A 19599-nucleotide genomic window follows, 5' to 3' on the forward strand; every position below is an offset into this window, starting at 1 on the left:
TACATGAGATAAATAAAGCTTTACCTTGTTTGAGGCATGATTATTTGGAATTTGTTGCATGTCAAACTCAGTCCTGAGTGGTAAACTATCATTTCCACATTGCTTTTCCTCTCCACTCTCTTCCGTGTTTCTTTTTTCTCTCCCCAATAACCCATGGTGAGAATTTTAGGTGATTTTATTCATTTATAAGAGTGAATGGAAAGAGTAAATCCCACACAATAATTTGTCCCCCTCCTAAATCCTCAGAAACAGCTTAAAATGAGGGGAAAAATATAAAAATATAATCTGTAGTTCTCTAGAAAAAAAGTGCCTGGAGGTCTCCCAAAAGACTAGCAAGCAATGAAGAGATTTCCTTCAAGGGGCCACCATGACCGTATCATATTTGGGGAGGTTTGTCTTTGAAAAGGTGTACAGTTAGGCAGAGAGAAGCTTCAATGAAATTCTAAAGAGAAGGGAATATGATAGAAAACATGCAATTCTATTTTATCACTGATTCTATGGCGCTGTGTATTATATTACTAATTATAATTTTTATTGAACACTAATAGTTATTGAACATTTATCAAATATCAGACTATCCTAAGCATTTTATATACATATACATTATCTAATCTTCACGCTTACCCTATAAGGTTGATATTATTAGTAACTTCATTTTGTATATATGGAAGCCAAGGCTCAAAAAGGAAAAAAAAAACTCTTTCAAAATCAAAAAGCATACAAGATGTGCAGCAGGAGTTTGAATCCACATCTTCTGGCTCCACAGATTTGGTGCTACTAATCTGTAAGTTTAAAATACAATACTATAAAATATGGTAAAGATACAATACTTAGAAATTAAGGTACTTAATCTGTAAGTTTAAGATACAATACTGCACCATTTCTATTTTATCTGATGGTTTAACATTTCAAAAGGCATTTCAGGACTCAGTTCAGTTCTTTCATTTGCACACACACACACACATGCACACGCATGCAGGCACATACATATGTATAACTCCTGAACTGGGGAAAAGTATACAACTTCACAGGTGAAAGGATCAGGCACATGTTCAATGAATTGGAGTCCTGATTCCCAACATCCTGCACTTAAGCTCTGCAGATGAAAGGATGCTCAGTCTGGCTTCAATTCCTGTCTAAAAATAGCTAAAAGCACAATACAAAACACCAGATTTTTGTATCAGGTTATTGCTCTGAGCCCCACTTACTGAGTGGGGAATCTGATGTCCAGAAAGCAGGGTAACTTAGGAAAGTGTTAGAGCTGGGGGAGGCACACCTGGAGAGGAATTAAAGTTTAACCTAAAGTGACTGGAGCATCACGTGTTTAACCTTCTCTATCCACTTGCTCTTACCATGAGTACATTTCCATTTTTAGGTCTCTTAAAACCATAGATTGATGAAACAAACTCACAATACAGACTCACTTTGCTGCCCCTTAGCTTTATATTCCCTAAGAACGTCCACAAACTCTGGACTGGATTTAGCCTACTTGGACCAAGAGACACAGGCCATGATGGTGTAACATGATGAAGAGCTCTCTCTGAAGATTGCTGAATCACAGGAAACACACAAACCAAGCAGGAAAAATGTGCCTTGAACTTTTCCACGTAATTCACCTATTGCAACTGGGGGTGGCTGGGTTTTCATGAATAGGGCACCCAAGGAGAATAGCTAATAACAGACTGATCCAGAATTGAGAAAGAATAGCATGGCATCTTGCCCCAGTCATGAATAGATGACATAACAAAGAGAGAGGAAAAAGAAACAAGGAACCCAGGAGTAATGGGGAGACCAGGGCTCACCAGCCAGGCGTCTGGTAAGCACCGAGTGTGGGAAATTTTCCTTGCCTCTGAGACACATATTGTTGTCCAACAATGGCATGGCAGCTGACGTTGCAAAGTCTCCGTTTCAAAGGAGAAACCAGCAGAGGTGTTCTGCTCCTCCTCTCCCCTTAGGGAAATCCTGGAAAGTGCCAACCAGCTTGCATTATTGTTAAAGATGTTAAATAAAAACACGCAGCAAGCTCTGCATGTATAGTGGGCAGGGAGTGGAACTAGTAGAATTTTCAGGGCCTTATTGCAATGTCATGTAGTGAAATTTAATCTGGACTGAGACTCCAGAGGATAGCAGAGGAGCTGCAGCTCAGCCACCAACCTAACAAGCAACCTTACCTCTCAGGTTCTCAATGTCCAAACTTGTAAGGCAAGAAGGTTATATTGCTGGATTGATACATATCTTTATTCAACAACATTACTGAGCTAGAGTTACATAAGAGTTATCTCATGTATCTCACATTCTAGTGAATTTGATAGACAATAAAAAGTAAATTCATAAATGTCCTTTAGTTATAAGGGTTATGAAGAAAAAAAATCATAGTAAACGAAAGAGAGTAATGTGTTGACACTCTAAATAATGTTGCCAGGAAAGCTGCTCCAAAGAAGCAGTATTTGAGCAGAAACTAGGAGAAGAAGCCAGCCAGGGAAGATTTGGGGAAGCAATGTCCCAGGTGGAAGGAACAGCCATGTGTGGCCATGAAATAGGAGCATGCTTGGCATGTCTGAGGTACATCCAGGAAACCAATGTGGCTGGAGTTGAGGGAGTGAGGAGAAAGACAGATGGAGATGAGTTGGGGTGATAGCAGGGGACAAATCATGTAAGGTGATAATCAGATTTTAGGTTTAATTGTGATATAAAACCATTGAATGGGTATGTATTGAGCAGAAAGGTACCATGAACCTTATATGGCTGATAAAAGTAGAGAAAGCATTCAATAATAATTTACTGAGCATCAATATTTACCAGGTTTTGTTGCAAGTGCAAGGAGTATATCAGTAAATAAAAGATGTCCCTATCCTGATAGAGATTACATCCTTGTGGAAGACCACTTGAAAAACAATTGCAGTGGTCCAAGTAAAAAATGATGGTGACTTAGTAAAAGGTAGTAGTAATGAAAGTAATGAAGACTAGCCAGGTTCCATATTTGTTCTGAAGGTGGAGCAAAAAGAATTTGTTGATAGATTAGATGTGGGGATAAGAAAATAAATAAATGATTCCCAGATTCCTCCATCTCTCTCTTTTTTTTAAACTAGATCCTTCTCGTCATTCTAACTTTGGTTCAGATATTACCTCTTCAGAGAGGCATCCCCAGATAACACAAGTTTACAATGCCAAGTTAACTCATTACTCTCTTCTTTTACTACTGTTGTGCCATTTGCTGAAATGAGGAAGACTTGGGGAGGAGCACAGTCTGATTTGGAGTCAGTATTTGAAGATGTTAAGTTTAAGATGCCTATTAGACATCCAAGAGAAGATGATGTATATGCTAGTTTGACATATAGCTTGGAGGACAGATGAAAAGTTAGTATGAACATAAAAAGTTTGTTTATCACCTAAGAAAGACATGCATATACTAAAGAGAACCAAGTACTTCCTAGAGTGTTCCAAAAATTAGAGATCAGGAAGGGGAGAGGTAGCAAGTGAGTTAAGAAAAGAAGGTGAACATGACGTCCCAGAAACCATGTGAGGAAAATATTCCAGGAGGAAAACATCAGCTTCCTCAACTGCTTGGGACTTGAGTATATATTAAAACGAACCATTGGGTTCAAAAACATGGAGGCCATTGGTGATATTGAGTGGTTCCAGTGGACTTATGGGGACAAAATCAAAGTGGGTTAAAAAGAAAATGGGAGTTGAGGAATTGAGACAGTGAGTTTAGATGTCTCCTTCATGGAATTTGATCATAAAAGGGAGTAGAAAAATGAGCAACAATTACCAAGAGGAGAATGTTAGATTGTTTGTTTGTTTTTAAGGTGAGAGTTGCAATATAAAAAACCAACTGTAAAAAAGAGCTTTTTTATACAATCATGAAAATTTGAATGAAGACTGATAAAAAAGATATTAAGAAATAATTATTAATTTGCTAAAAATGATAATGGAATTGGAGTTACAGTTTTTAAAATTCCATGTGAAGTATGTATTACTAAATAAGATAATATCTGGGGTTTGCTATAACATATATAAGCAAGACAAGTTTGGGGGAGACAGATGAAACTAGATTGGCAAAATATCATTGTTGAAGTTGGATGATGAGTATATGGAATTCATTATATTTGTCTCTCTACTTTTGTGTATATGTAAAAAGTTTCTTGAAAATGATAAGAGCCGGTCATATTACGGCAGTACACTATTCCCATAATGGCCCAGGTGCCCCACCTCTTCCTGGTAGGGTGGAGCCAGAAGAGGCTGAGTGAGAAGCCAGGACTTTTACCACCTCCCAGGGATAGTGAGCCCCTCCTCTCCCTCAGTGTCAGTGGAGGGCATGCAGACACCAGTAATGAGGGGCCCCTACCCCCTGCCAGCCAGGCGGTGCCAGCAGAAGCCTGATGTGGAGCCTGCCCCCCATCCACCCCAGGAGTAACAAAGCACCCCCACAAGTGTCACTAAAGGCTGTGGGGGAGCTGGACTTTCACCCTCACTTGGCAGTTACAGGCAAGGCCCCTTCCCCTTGGCGATGTGAAACCAGAGGAGCCCTAAATCAGGAGATTTAAATAAGATCCAGAGTCTCATAATATCCAAAATGTCCAAGATGTAAATGAAAATCACTCATCATACCAAGAACAAGGAAAATCTCAATTTGAATGAGAAAAGACAATCAACAGAGATGACACAGACGTTGAAATCATCTGATGAGAATCTTAAAGCAGCCATCATAAAAAGGCTTCGAAGAGCAATTATGAATACACTTGAGACAAATGAAAAAAATAAGTCTCAAATAATATGTACAAACACAGCAGGTTTCAAAAATGAGCTTGCAGAAAATTACTGTCTTCCACATTGTTCATATTGAGAAACCACGTGTCTCAGAGTCGAGAGGTTTGAATTAACGTTGGTCCACAGCTGGTCTGGTGCATCACTATCCCTGGGGTCCCAGCTATTTTAACACATCACATATTTCCCAAAACTCAGGCTACATTTCAGCAATTCCACAGCCTACTGCATCACTGAATGTTTTTCCAGCCTGCTTCCTGAAAAGGAGGTTTAGGATTACAGCATATCATTTAGGTAACAATGTTGTATCCCAAGACTAGCTCCCAAAGGCTAAGATTTCACAAATTTCAAAATTTCTTCTGAAATTTCATCATCCTTCTACCTTCTCAGGAGTTGTAAACTTGGAAAAAAACTTATTATAAAAGGTCAGTTGGAACACACTCTAGGGAGTTAACAAAAATGAATTGTTGTGCTAATATTCCAACCATTTAGGAAAACTTCTGAATGCCTCTTATCAGTGTAACATCCATCAAAACAAGGTGGACACCTGGGTGCTCTGCAGCCATCCGAGGCGGCTCTGTGAAGACCTTGGCCTTGGGGTGGTTGGGCCAGCTGCAGTGGAACATGAGCAGGGCCAGTCCCATGCCATGGGAAAGAAGAGGCTTCTGCCTATAAAAGAGGCCTTTCAGCTGGCCCAGCCACCCCACCAGAACCAGGCAAAGCTGCTAGTGGCATTAAGCTGCATCTACCACACAAAATGCAACAAGAAAACACACTCCTTCTCTCGGCCGCATCCAGTACTGTTCCTCACAGTCAGCTACAGCTATCACATATTTCATTTTGTGGATATATTAAATACCTAGGTTTATATGGTCAATCCCCTATTGGTGGACACTTCTACTTGTGTGGTTTCTAGTCTTTGGATATTAGGAAAAAATGCTTCAATGAAAACATGTTATTTAGTTTTTTACCTTCTTCTGTAAAGTATTCTGGAAATTTTGTCATTTTTTATTAGTATTCGTAGTAGGTGTATCATTTAAAAATTTGCTGGACTGAAAGCCTTAAAAAAGATAAAAGTGTGGGCAAGGATGTGGCGAAAAGGGAACCCTTGAACACTGTTGGTGGGAATGTGAATTAGCACAGCCACTGTGGAAAACAGTATGGAGGGTTCCTCAGAAAATTAAAACTTGAACTACCATAGGATCCAGCAATCTCACTACCAGATATATATCCAAAGGGAATGAAATCAGTATGTGGAAAAGATATCCACATTCCCACATTTATTGCAGCATTATTGACAACAGCCAAGATATGGAATCAACTTATGTGTCTATTAGCTGATGAATGAATTTTTAAAATGTAGTATATATACAATGGGATACTATTTAGCCTTTAAAAAGAACAAAATTCTGTCATTTGTAACAACATGGATGAACTTGAAAGACATTATGTTAAGTGTAACAAGCCAGGCAGAGAAAGACAAAAGCCACATGATGTCATTTGTATGTGGACTCTAAAAAAGCTGACCTCATAGAAATAGAGAGCAGAATGGTGGTTATGAGAGACTAGGTTGGGGGTGGATGGAGATGTTGGCCAAAGGATACAGAATTTCAATTAGATTGGAGAAATAAGTTTGAGAGATCTATTATACAACATAGTGACCATAGTTAATAACAATTGCACACATGAAAAGCGCTAAGAGAATACATTTTGTCTTCTCATCACAAAAAAAAGTGAAGTTATGCATATGTTAAATAGCTTGATTTAGCCATTCCACAATGTATACATACATCAAAACATTGTTATACACCATAAATATGCACAATCTTAACTTGTCAATTCAAATAAATAAAATTTAAAATCAAAAAAGAAAGAAAGCCTTAAAAGCTTATATAATTTAGAGGAAACAAAAAAACAGAACGAGTTTTAAAATATAGTGTTTCCTGAGAAAGGGGTGAGTTGAACAGGCAAGGAGGGGCCTGCTCTCATGATGGACCTCCAGAATCCCAGCTGCAGGAGACCCAAAGACTCCCATGGACACTTGAGCTGGTAGGGAGAGCTGCTTAGAAAGGGGGTAGGGGCAGGACTCCAGTCTATGTGGCACCCAGAGGGTTTGGCATAGAAACAGCTACAGTGGAGCATGGCTGGGGATGCCCATCTCCCAAAACTCTCCATGCTCCTTTAGGTGGCCTTGGCCTTTAATGAGTGCCAGACCTGAATAGAGCAAGGTGGTCTTGCCCATGAGATGAGGGCCAGTCCAATCTGAGCAACCCCTATCTGCTGGTCTCTTCTGGGGCCCCAGCTTGCTGCACCCATTTGCAGCACAGCCTCTGATGCCCAACCAGGGTAACTACCAGGGGCCATCATCATAGCTCCTTTACTAGCAGACCACACCTGACCTTAGGAGAGATCTAGCACACCAGCCCCCACTGCGGAGCAACCACCCACCCACAGCCTATTCAATAAATGGTGCTGGGATAACTGGCTAGCCATATGCAGAAGACTGAAACCCCTAAAAACAAACCTCCGTGGGAAGCAGTGCCAAGGTAGGGAAACCTGAACATCACTGATGAGTGGCTGGAGGCCCAGAGCCAACGAGCCCCAGAGATTAAAAACTGGGGGGCACTCAGTCATCAGGGCCTCCGTGCTTTTGTGAATTTGCCTCCAGGAGCAGGACCAGTTTCTCACAGTGAATACTGGAGGAAAATCTCCTCATACTTCCTGCAGGAAGAAGGGAAAAGGAAACATTTTTAAAGATGCCAGAGCACTCAGTTCTTAATAAGGTCCACCCCTCAGGAGAAACCGTTTAACAGAGCTTAACAGACCTGAGGGAAGAGAAATAATCCAACTCCAGCCAGCTCTGCCTTCCATGTGGAAGAAGGGAAATACCCAACTCTAGTCCACTCCAGCCATTGTATCCCACCTAAGTGGTGGGAAGAACTGAGAAACATGTGTGAAGTTCACAGTCCAGAAGTATAGGCCAAAAAAACAAATAAACAAAGAAAACCCAGTTCTGGTTCCAAAATGGTGGTGTATTGATGAGAGTGTTAAATTTCTAATTTTTAAGACTCTTAGGCAACTATGGGTTTCTTTTGTTTTCGTTTTTTATTCATTTGAACACTTTTCAAGTTTTTCAAAACTAGTCAATTTGAATTTTGACAGCTATTCAATGTGTTATCTCCAAGTTAAGAAAAGTTGTTTTCCATACCTCCCTATTCCTAGGATGCAAGTTTTTCATTCTGGTAACTATACCAAGGAGTAATTATAAAATTGAGTTCTTTTACCATATTTTGTATTCCGGACCACTTACTGGTAAATGTAAACAAGCAAAAGAAATTAACTCAGATAATATGACCCTGCTAAATTGTATACATATTTATAAACAGCACATTTGTGTATTTTAGCTGTGTCAGTAGCCACCCCCTCCCCACGTTCATTCCCATTTTTCTTTTTTTTTTTTTTTTGAGATGGAGTCTCGCTCTGTCACCAAGGCTGGAGTGCAATGGTACCACCTCGGCTCACTGCAACCTCCACATCCTGGGTTCTAGCGATTCTTCTGCCTCAACCTCCCGAGTAGCTGGGATTACAGGCACGCCTGCCACCATGCCCGGCTAATTTTTGTATTTTTACTAGAGACAGGGGTTTCACCATGTTTGCCAGGCTGGTCTTGAACCCTGACCTCAGGTGATCCACCCTCCTTGGCTTCCCGAAGTGCTGGGATTACAGGCATGAGCCACCGCGCCCGGCCTTCGTTCCTATTTTTCTATAGTTACGAATGCTACATAGATGTGACTACTCTTTAACATCAGAAAAGAATACACAGAGTAAGAGTCTTCCAGCCAAAACAATACATTAAATACTGATGGAATCAAGTATTTTGTATAAAGTTTTCATTTGTTTTCTCTAACTCTATGCTTTTTGTTTTGTATGTAGTATGTATTTCATATGCATACACTTTTTGTATAGAGTAATCAAGTTGGATAATTTGTTGGTAAAAATAATACCATATTGGCTGGGCGTGGTGGCTCACACCTGTAATCCCAGCACTTTGAGAGGCCAAGGCAGGCAGTTCACTTGAGGTCAGCCCTCAAGACCAGCCTGGGAAACATGGTAAAAACCCATCTCTACTAAAAATAGTGGTGGCACACACCTGTAATCCCAGCTACTCAGGAGGCTGAGGCCAGAGAATCACTTGAACCCAGGAGGCAGATGTTGCAGTGAGCTGAGATGGCGCCCCTGAACTCCAGCCTGGGTGACAGAGGAAGATTCCCTCTCAAAAAAAAAAAAAGTCACATTGAATGATATTGCTATAGACACAGCTTGAGGTTTATATCTATTTTTGCTCATTTTCTAAGAATATATCTAAAACAAACATTAAAACACTCTACATCTTTCTAAGTCAGTTCTTGGAACCGAAATGTGGAGTCTATATTTAGGAACCAACAGGCAAAGGAAAACTCTAAAGCACAAAAATGACATTCTAAAGATGCAGGTTTCATTTCTGTTTTAAATGCTTCACATTACTATTCCTCTCTCTCTTTTAGTGTAAAAACTAAGGTTGGGAGTGATGTTGTCAAGTTCAAAGAAAGGCCTGAAGGTCATTGATGGATTGAGGTAGATAGCCAGGTGTGGGTTTTTTTGTTTGGTTTGGTTTTGGGTTTATTTTTAGCCTGTTGCCCAGGCTAGAGTGAAGTAGTGCAATCACAGTTCACTGAGATTGCCAGGTTTGATAAATAGGAATCTGTAGGATGGTGATCTAGAGCAGACTTGACTCTATTTTACCTGGAAAAGTTTCTAAAACTCTAAACTAGTTAACTTTGACTAAGCATAAAACACACTGCACTGGTGTTTATATTTTTCATGCCACAATATTAAAATATAATTTTAAATGTACATTATTATAATCCATAAAAGATTTGCATACATGTATTAGGCTTCCGATATGATTTGGCTCTGTGTCCCCACCCAAATCTCATGTTGAATTGTAATCCCTAATGTTGGGGGAAGGACCTGGTAGAAGGTGATTCGATCATGGGGACAGATATCCCCTTGCTGTTCTCACGATAGTGAGTGAGTTCTCACAAGATCTGGTTGTTTTAAAGTGTGTAGCACTTCCCCCTTCTCTCTCTTCCTCCTGCTCCCACAATGTAAGGTGTGCTGGCTTCCCCTTCGCCTTTTGCTATGATTATGAGATTGCTGAGGCTTCTCCAGCCATGCCTCCTGTACAGCCTGCAGAACTGTGAGTCAATTAAACCTCTTTTCTTTATAAGTCACCAGTCTCAGGTAGTTCTTTATAGCGGTGTGAGAACAGACTAATACAGCTTTTAAGTCTTTACTGGAAATTATGCAAATAGTGGTTGTAAAAAGACTGTTTTAAATAGTTTTTTACTGTTCTAGTTTTCAGTTTTTATAGAATATTATAATATTCTATTATAATAGAACATTATAATTAATAGAACTATTTATAATTCACTATATAGTGAATTATAATTATATATATAATTCACTATATAGTGAATTATAATTATATTTATAATATATTTATAAATAGAACAATTTATAATTCACTATATAGTGAATTATAATTATATTTATAATATAATATATTTATAAATAGTTATATAATTATATATAATTATAAATATAAAATTTATATATATAATTATATATAATTATATATAATATATATTACCATGTATATATATATTTATTTTTATATATTATTATAATAATATATAATATATATTATATATTATTATAATATATAATATATTATATATATTATATAATATAATATATAATATAAAATAAAATATAATATATAATATATAATATATATAATACATATAATATATAAAATATATATTGTATATATTTATAAATATATATATTATATTTATAATTATATATATAAATATATATTATTTTTATAAATATATATAAATATATATTATATTTATGAATATATTTATAATTATGTTTATAATTATATAATTATAATCATATAATTATATTTATAATTATATAATTATAAAATTATAAAAATTCACTATTTATAATTGTGAATTTTTCCATGTGGGTATAGGTATAGTGTAAATTGTAGTAATATAATAAAACACATCAATTGTGTTTATGTTTGCCTTTCATTTATGTGTAGCATAAACCATCTTCCTATATATGTGTTGCCAAACTATTCGCCAATTGTGTTTATGTTTGCCTTTCATTTATGTGTAGCATAAACCATCTTCCTATATATGTGTTGCCAAACTATTCGCCAACATCTATTTGGTGAAATATGCTGAAAATCATTCTGATTTTCCATAAGTATAGTTCTTAAGTTCCTTATATATCCAGAAGTAAACGCTATCCTGCTGTACATCAACTGTTCATTTGTTACTTATCTTCGTATTTCTTAAGAGATTCAAAGTCTTGTTCATTTTTCTGGGGGAAAAATCCATTTTGGAGGGACCAGTTTTTGTTCTTTGTATTCTGTAATGTGAACTTTTCCTGTGTACCAACATTTTAAAAATAATTACTTCAAAGAATTATTGGCACATAATCTAAAGACAGACACTATTTTTTTAAGTAAAATTTGATTTTTTTAAGGATCTTTGCACAGAATGAGTAGGCCTATGCTAATTCTTCAAACAGGAAATGTAGTTTCCTTTCTAAGAATGGATGCAGATTCAGTTTCATGGTAATATGATAATAAGAAAATGCTTCTATTTTCCATTAGCACGTTCGTGGTTTCATATACCCATGTCTATAAAACGTGACATGAGACTTTGGTTGGGCTATATTTTATTGTATTTATTAGACTTGCTTATATGAATGACTTAAGCAGAAATAAAGTCATGTATTTACAAGGTGAACAAGCCAAATTGTGATGGCCTGTCTGTTGCTTTTGGCATCTGGGATGAGACCAACTGACTCTTCCATTGGTTGTGAGATAGTTGAAATGGTCCATTGGTGGTCGTACTTAGTGTTCTGTGAAATCAGGGAGTCCTTCCACCCCAAGAATGACTCATCTGCCATTGGATTCCAGTACAAAAGTTAGCAGCCTTGTGTGTCCCAAATTGATTTAATTTCTACTTAACGTGCTCCTGTGTACATTCATTTTATAATTTACCAAAATAGTATTTGGGTAAATAATGACTCCTGGAGCAAGCTGATGTAATTGCTGCTTTGGCCATTGTTTTAAATGTATGTATTAGAGTAACTGTAAGAGACTAAAATCACAAATCTCAGTGTTCAAAATATCATTCTAATAAAATACATGCATTAAACACTTTTTTAAAATTTTAAAACAAAATGGTGGTATAGAAGCAAGTTGGCTTCACTCTCCCCAACAAAGAAACAAAAATGAATACACAGTGATGAGATTATCACCAATATTATCCCAGAACTCAAATACAAGAATGAGACAATTACTGGGGCCATTCAGATGTGAAAATACTCCAAGCAGACAGTAAAAGAATGAGACTTCAATATCCATGATACCCCTCCCTCAGTGTACCCAGCACCAAGCATACAGAAATTTTTTACTCCAAATCATAGTTTCTACACTAGAAAATGTGAGATCGAGGTTAACAACCAACTTTCCCACCATCTTGGGTTCCCTGGCAGGATACCCTGCCTCAACCCACAATAAACACCAGCAGTGCCTGAAGGGAAAAATATTCCTGAAGATAGCCAGAGACAAAAGGGAGAAGTGAAACTACCTTCCCAGCCCTGGAAATGCTGCTCTGTAACTCATGCAAAGGAGATGACAAATCAGAGTGGCTGTTCAGCAGCACCACACTGTAGGAGGTTCATTCCACAAGTCCCCTGGGCACAAACACCTAGCCAGCCTTCCCACACTACTAGGAAATCCCGTTTTGGAACACTCCCATTTGGGACAGATGGCACTCTGATCATTTACTAGAACCAAAGCAAAACTGAGCTTAACATGTCATCTAGTCCCAAAAACGAGGCAGCAACATAGTGGTGGGGGCAGGGAGAAACAAAATCAACAGATAAATTATGAAGAATCTCTAAGCAAACACATCCAGTAAAAATCAAACAAGCCAGACAGAGAAGCGTGAATTAAATAATTAATTCTTCAACGCAAAGACATAAACATACATCTACAAACAACAGCAGAGAACCATGACTGCCTCAAACCAACAACACAAGGCACCACTGACTGACCCAAACAAGACAGCAATATGTAAACTTTCTGAACTATAATTCAAAATAGCAGTTTTTTTCAAAAACTTAATGACCTCCAAGATAACACAGAAAAGCAATTCAGAAATGTATCAAAGAGACTGAAATAATGTTTTAAAATCAAGCAGAAATCTTGGAACTGAGCTATATGTTAGCTGAACTAAAACATTCATTAGAGGCTATCAACAGTAGAATGGATAAACCTAAGCTCACTAGAGCAAGAACTAGCAAGCTCAAAGACAGGATATTTGAAAATACACAGTCATAGAAGGAAAAAGAAAAAAGAATGAAAAGAAATGAAGAATGCCTATAAGATATAGAAAATTACCTCAAAATACCAAATCTAAGAATCACTGGTGTTCAAGAGGGATCTGAGAAAGAACAAGGGGTAGAAAGATGATTCAAAGAAATCATAACAGAAAACTTTTCAAACTTAAGAAAAAGATAAATGTCCAAGTACAGGAAGGTCAGAGAACACCAAAAAGATTAGACCTAACTAAGACTACCCCAAGGCATATAATAATCAAACGCTCAAAAGCCAATGACAAAGAGAGAATCCTAAAAGCTGCAAGAGAAAGTAAATTCATATAAAGGAGCTCTAACTCGTCTAGCAACAGACTTTTTTTTTTTTTTTTTTTTTTTTTTTTTTACTTTCCATAAGCAAAAAAGTTTAATGACTTGGTCTGAATTTTTTTTTTTTATTATTATACTTTAAGTTTTAGGGTACATGTGCACAATGTGCAGGTTAGTTACATATGTATACATGTGCCATGCTGGTGCGCTGCACCCACTAACTCGTCATCTAGCATTAGGTATATCTCCCAATGCTATCCCTCCCCCCTCCCTGCACCCCACAACAGTCCCCAGAGTGTGATGCTCCCCTTCCTGTGTCCATGTGTTCTCATTGTTCAATTCCCACCTATGAGTGAGAATATGCGGTGTTTGGTTTTTTGTTCTTGCAACAGTTTACTGAGAATGATGATTTCCAATTTCATCCATGTCCCTACAAAGGACATGAACTCATCACTTTTTATGGCTGCATAGTATTCCATGGTGTATATGTGCCACATTTTCTTAACCCAGTCTATCATTGTTGGACATTTGGGTTGGTTCCAAGTCTTTGCTATTGTGAATAATGCCGCAATAAACATACATGTGCATGTGTCTTTATAGCAGCATGATTTATAGTCCTTTAGGTATATACCCAGTAATGGGCAAGGACTTCATGTCTAAAACACCAAAAGCAATGGAAACAAAAGCCAAAATTGACAAATGGGATCTAATTAAACTCAAGAGCTTCTGCACAGCAAAAGAAACTACCATCAGAGCGAACAGGAAACCTACAAAATGGGAGAAAATTTTTGCAACCTACTCATCTGACAAAGGGCTAATATCCAGAATCTACAATGAACTCAAACAAATTTACAAGAAAAAAACAAACAACCCCATCAAAAAGTGGGTGAAGGACATGAACAGACACTTCTCAAAAGAAGACATTTATGCAGCCAAAAAACACATGAAAAAATGCTCACCATCACTGGCCATCAGAGAAATGCAAATCAAAACCACAATGAGATATCATCTCACACCAGTTAGAATGGCAATCATTAAAAAGTCAGGAAACAACAGGTGCTGGAGAGGATGTGGAGAAATAGGAACACTTTTACACTGTTGGTGGGACTGTAAACTAGTTCAACTATTGTGGAAGTCAGTGTGGCGATTCCTCAGGGATCTAGAACTAGAAATACCATTTGACCCAGCAACAGACTTTTCAATGGAAACCATACAGTCTAGGAGGTAATGGTGTGACATTTCCAAAGTATTGAGAGGAAAAAAACTACCATCCAAGAACACTTTGTCCAGCAAAGCTGTCCTTCAAATATATAAAGAGAGAGAGATTAAAGTCCCAGACAAACAAAAAACTAAGATAATTTACCACCACCAGATCCAGCTTACAAGATGCTAAGGGGAGCTCTTCAAACTGAAAGAAAAGAACCACTAATGTGCAAAAAGAAACATTTGAAAATATAAAACTCACTAGTAAAATTAAGTACATGAACAAACAAAAAAAATCTAATACTGTAACTGTGATGCGCAATCCATTCATAACTCTAGTATGAAGCCCAACAGACAAATTTATCAAAAACAATAATAGCTATACTGGCCTATTAGGAGATAAGTCATATAACAATATGTAAATTGAGACAACATAAAGTTAAAATGTGGGGAAAGTAGAATTAAAGGGTAGAGGTTTTTTTCTTCGTTTTTCTTTGTAATCTAAGATAAGTAGTCTTTAAAATAACTTGTTATATCTATAAGAAGTTTTTTGTAAGCCTCACGATAACCACTATGATTTTAAAAAACCTATAATAGATTTACTAAAAATAAAAAAGCAATGAATTCAAACACACTACCAAAGAGAATCACTTAACCACAAAGGAGGACAGGAACAAAGAAAGAGAAGAGTTACAAGACAACCAGAAAACAAGTTTTGAAAAATGGCAGTAGTAAGTCCTTACATATCAGTAATAACACTGAATGTAAATGGACTCAATTGTTCAGTTAAAAGGCACACGGTGGCTGAATGGATAAAGAAAAAGACCCAATTACATACTGCTTATTTTAACTACATAAAAATCCACTTTCATTATACAGACACAGACTGAAAGTTAAGTGGTGGAAAATGATATTTCATGCAACTGGAAACCAAAAGAGAGCAGGAATCACTATACTTATATCAGATAAAATAGATTAAAAATCAAAGACTATAAGAAGTGGCAAAGAAGGTCACTATATAATGATATAGGGATTAATTCAGCAAGAAGCTATAATAATTATAAGTGTCTATGCACTCAACACCAGAGGTCCCAAGTATAAGAAGCAAACCTTAATAGATCTAAACCTACTAATATTGTATTAGACTGTAATACAATATTAGTAGGGGACTTCAACACCCTACTCTCAGTAATGGACAGATCATCCAGACAGAAAATCAACAAAGAAACTACACACTAAACCAAATAGGCCTAAATGACATTTACAGAACATTTCAACCAACAGTTGTAGAACATATTCTTTTCATCAACACATGGAATATTCCCCCAACACATGGAATATTCCCCCCAACACATGGAATATTCCCCCCAACAGATTATATCTTAGGCCACAAAACAATCAAGTATCTCTTCTGACTACAGTGGAATAAAACTAGAGATCAATGACAAAAGAAACCTCAGAAAATACATAAACACATGGAAATTAAACATTTTCCTGAATGAACAATAGGTCAATGAAGAAATTAAGACGAAAATTAAAACATTTCTTGAAACAAATGGAAATAGATATACAACATACCAAAATCTATGGAATACAGCAAAAGCAGTACTACAAGGAAAGTTTATAGCAAAAATGCTCCATATCCAAAAGGTAGAAAGACTTCAAATAAATGACCTAATGATGCACCTCAAGGAACTAAAAAAGCAAGAACAAACCAAACCCAAAATTAGTAAAGGAACTAAATAATAAAGATCAAAACATAAATAAATGAAACAAAAAAATAGAAGACCAACAAAATGAAAAGTTGGTTTTCTGAAAAGATGAACAAAATCAACAAACCTTTAACTAGACTAACCAAGAAAAAGAGAGAGAAGACTCAAATAGAATTAGAAACAGAGAAGGATGCATAACAACTGAGACCACACAAATACAAAGAATCGTTAGAGACTATTATGAACAACTATACACCAATGAATTAGAAAACCTAGAGGAAATTGATAAATTTCTGGAAACATGCAACCTACCAAGATTGAAATATGAAGAAATAGAAAACTTTAATAAACTTGTAACAAGTAACAAGATTCAAGTCACACTAAAAGGTCTCCCATCAAAGAACAGCCCAAGCCCTAGGCACGGTGGCTCACGTGTATACTCCTAGTACTTTGGGAAGCTAAGGCAGATGGACTGCTTGAAGCCAGGTATTTGAGACCAGCCTGGGAAACACAGCAAGACCTCATCTCCACAAAAGTTTTAAAATTGTTTTAAAGGTGTAGTGGCACACCCCTGTACTCCAAGCTACTCCAGAAGCTGAGGCAGGAGGACAGCTTGAGTCCAGGAGTTTGAGGTTGTAGTGAGCTATGATCATATCACTGCACTCTAGCCTGGGCAACAGAGTGACATCTTGTCTAAAAAACTAAAATAAAAGCCCAGCACCTGACGGCTTTACTTAAAGAATTAATGCAAAGTCTACTCAAACTCTTTTAAAAAATATGAAAAGGAGAGAATACTTCCAAACTCATTGGACAAGCCAGCATCACCTTGATACCAAAACCAGAAATGGACACAACAACAACAACAACAACAAAACCACAGGCTAATGTCACTGATTAACATAGATGCAAAGCTCCTCAACAATATACTAGCAAACTGAATTCCACAGCACATTAAAAAGATCATTCACCATGATCAAGTGGGATTTAATCCCAAGGATGCAAAAAATGATTCAACATATGCAACAAATGTGATACATCACATAAAACCAATAAGAAAGGTTATATGGTCATTTCAATAGATGCTGGAAAGACATTTGGTGAAATTCAAAATTCTTTTATGATAAAAACCCTCAACAAATTGGATATAGAAGAAACATACCTCAACATAATAAATGCCATATATGACAAACCCAAAGCTAATATCATATGAATGGGAGAAAATTGAAAGTCTTTGGTTTAAGATCTGGAACAAGACAAGGATGATCACTTTCACCATTTATTCAACATAATACTGGAAGTCCTGGCCAGAGCAATTAGTCAAGAGAAAGAAATAAAAGGCATCCAAATTGGAAAGGAAGAAGTCAAAGTAGCTCGTTTGCAGACAATATAATCTTATACTTAGAAAACTCCTAAGATTTCACCAAAAAACAGTTAGAACTGATACATTCAGTGAAGTTGCAGGATACAAAATCAACATACAAAAATTAGTAGCATTTCTATACATTAATAATGAACTAGCTAATCAAGAACACAATCCCATTTATAATAGCTACAAAGAATACAATTACTTAAGAATCCATTTAATCAAAGAAATGAAAGATCTATACAAGAAAAACTATAAAACCCTGATGAAAAAATAGAAGAGGACACAAAAAAATGGAAAGGTATTCTATTCTCCTGAATTGGAAGAATATTGTTAAAATGACAATACTACCCGAAGCAATTTACAGATTCAATGCAATCCCTATAAAAAGACCAATGACAGAAACAATCAGTCTTGGCTGGCAAGATGGCCAAATAGGAACAGCTCCGGTCTGCAGCTCCCAGCGAGATCGACGCAGAAGGTGGGTGATTTCTGCATTTCCAACTGAGGTACCTGGTTCATCTCACTGGGACTGGTTGGACAGTGGGTGCAGCCCACGGAGGGCAAGCCGAAGCAGGGTGGGGCATTGTCTCACCTGGGAAGCACAAGGGGTCAGGGAGTTCCTGCCCCTAGCCAAGGGAAGTCATGAGGGACTATGACGTGAGGAACAGTGCACTCCAGCCCAGATACTGCACTTTTCCCATGATCTTCACAACGCGCAGACCAGGAGATCCCCTCCAATACTTAACGCCACCAGGGAGGGCCCTGGGTTTCAAGCACAAAACTGGGCAGCCATTTGGGCAGACATCGAGCTAGCTGCAGGAGTTTTTTTTTTTTTTTTTTTTTTCCTTCATGCCCCAGTGGTGCCTGGAATGTCAGCGAGACAGAACCGTTCTTTCCCCTGAAAAGGGGGCTGAAGCCAGGGAGCCAAGTGGTCTGGCTCAGCGAGTCCCTTCTCCATGGAGCCCATCAAGCTAAGATCTACAGGCTTGAAATTCTCGCTGCCAGCACAGCAGTCTGAGGTTGACCTGGGATGCTCAAGCGTGGTGGGGGGAGGGGCATCCACCATTGCTGAGGCTTGAGTAGGCGGTTTTACCCTCACAGTGTAAAAGCCGCCAGGAAGTTCAAACTGGGCAGAGCCCACCACAGCTCAGCAATGCCGCTGTGGCCAGACTCCCTCTCTAGATTCCTCCTCTCTTGGCAGGGCATCTCTGAAAAAAAGGCAGCAGCTCAGTTAGGGGCTTATAGATAAAACCCCCATCTCCCTGGGAGAAGGGGCAGCTGTGGGCGCAGCTTCAGCTGACTTAAACATCCCTGCCTGATGGCTCAGAAGAGAGCAGCAGATCTACCAGCACAGCGTTCAAACTCTGCTAAGGGTCAAGCTGCCTCCTCAGTGGGTCCCTGACCCCTGTGTATCCTGACTGGGAGACACCTCCCAGTACGGGCCGAGAGACACCTCATACAGGAGAGCTCTCACTGGCATCTGGCGGGTGCCCCTCTGGGACGAAGCTTCCAGAGGAAGAAACAGGCAGCAATCTTTGCCGTTCTGCAGCCTCCGCTGGTGTTACCCAGGCAAACAGGGTGTGAAGTGGACCTCCAGCAAACTCCAGCATACCTGCAGCAGAGGGGCCTAACTGTTAGACGGAAAACTAACAAACAGAAAGGAATAACATCAACATCAATAAAAAGGACGTCCACTCAGAGACCCCATCCGAAGGTCACCAACATCAAAGGCCAAAGGTAGATAAATTCACAAAGATGGGGAGAAACCAG

The 19599-nt window shown here is 38.0% G+C and overlaps 1 long non-coding RNA gene across 1 annotated transcript in view; it reads right to left on the reverse strand.

The window, feature by feature from the left end:
- Positions 1–19599, reverse strand: part of RBBP8-AS1 (RBBP8 antisense RNA 1) — a 210274-nt gene that overhangs the window by 6579 nt on the left and 184096 nt on the right. The window contains exon 4 of the long non-coding RNA NR_198963.1: positions 625–782. This is a non-coding gene — a long non-coding RNA (RBBP8 antisense RNA 1). The remainder of the gene's footprint in view (positions 1–624; positions 783–19599) is intronic.

The sequence above is a fragment of the Homo sapiens genome, chromosome 18 (genome assembly GCF_000001405.40).
Source record: "Homo sapiens chromosome 18, GRCh38.p14 Primary Assembly".
Classification (NCBI taxonomy): Eukaryota; Metazoa; Chordata; class Mammalia; order Primates; family Hominidae; genus Homo; species Homo sapiens.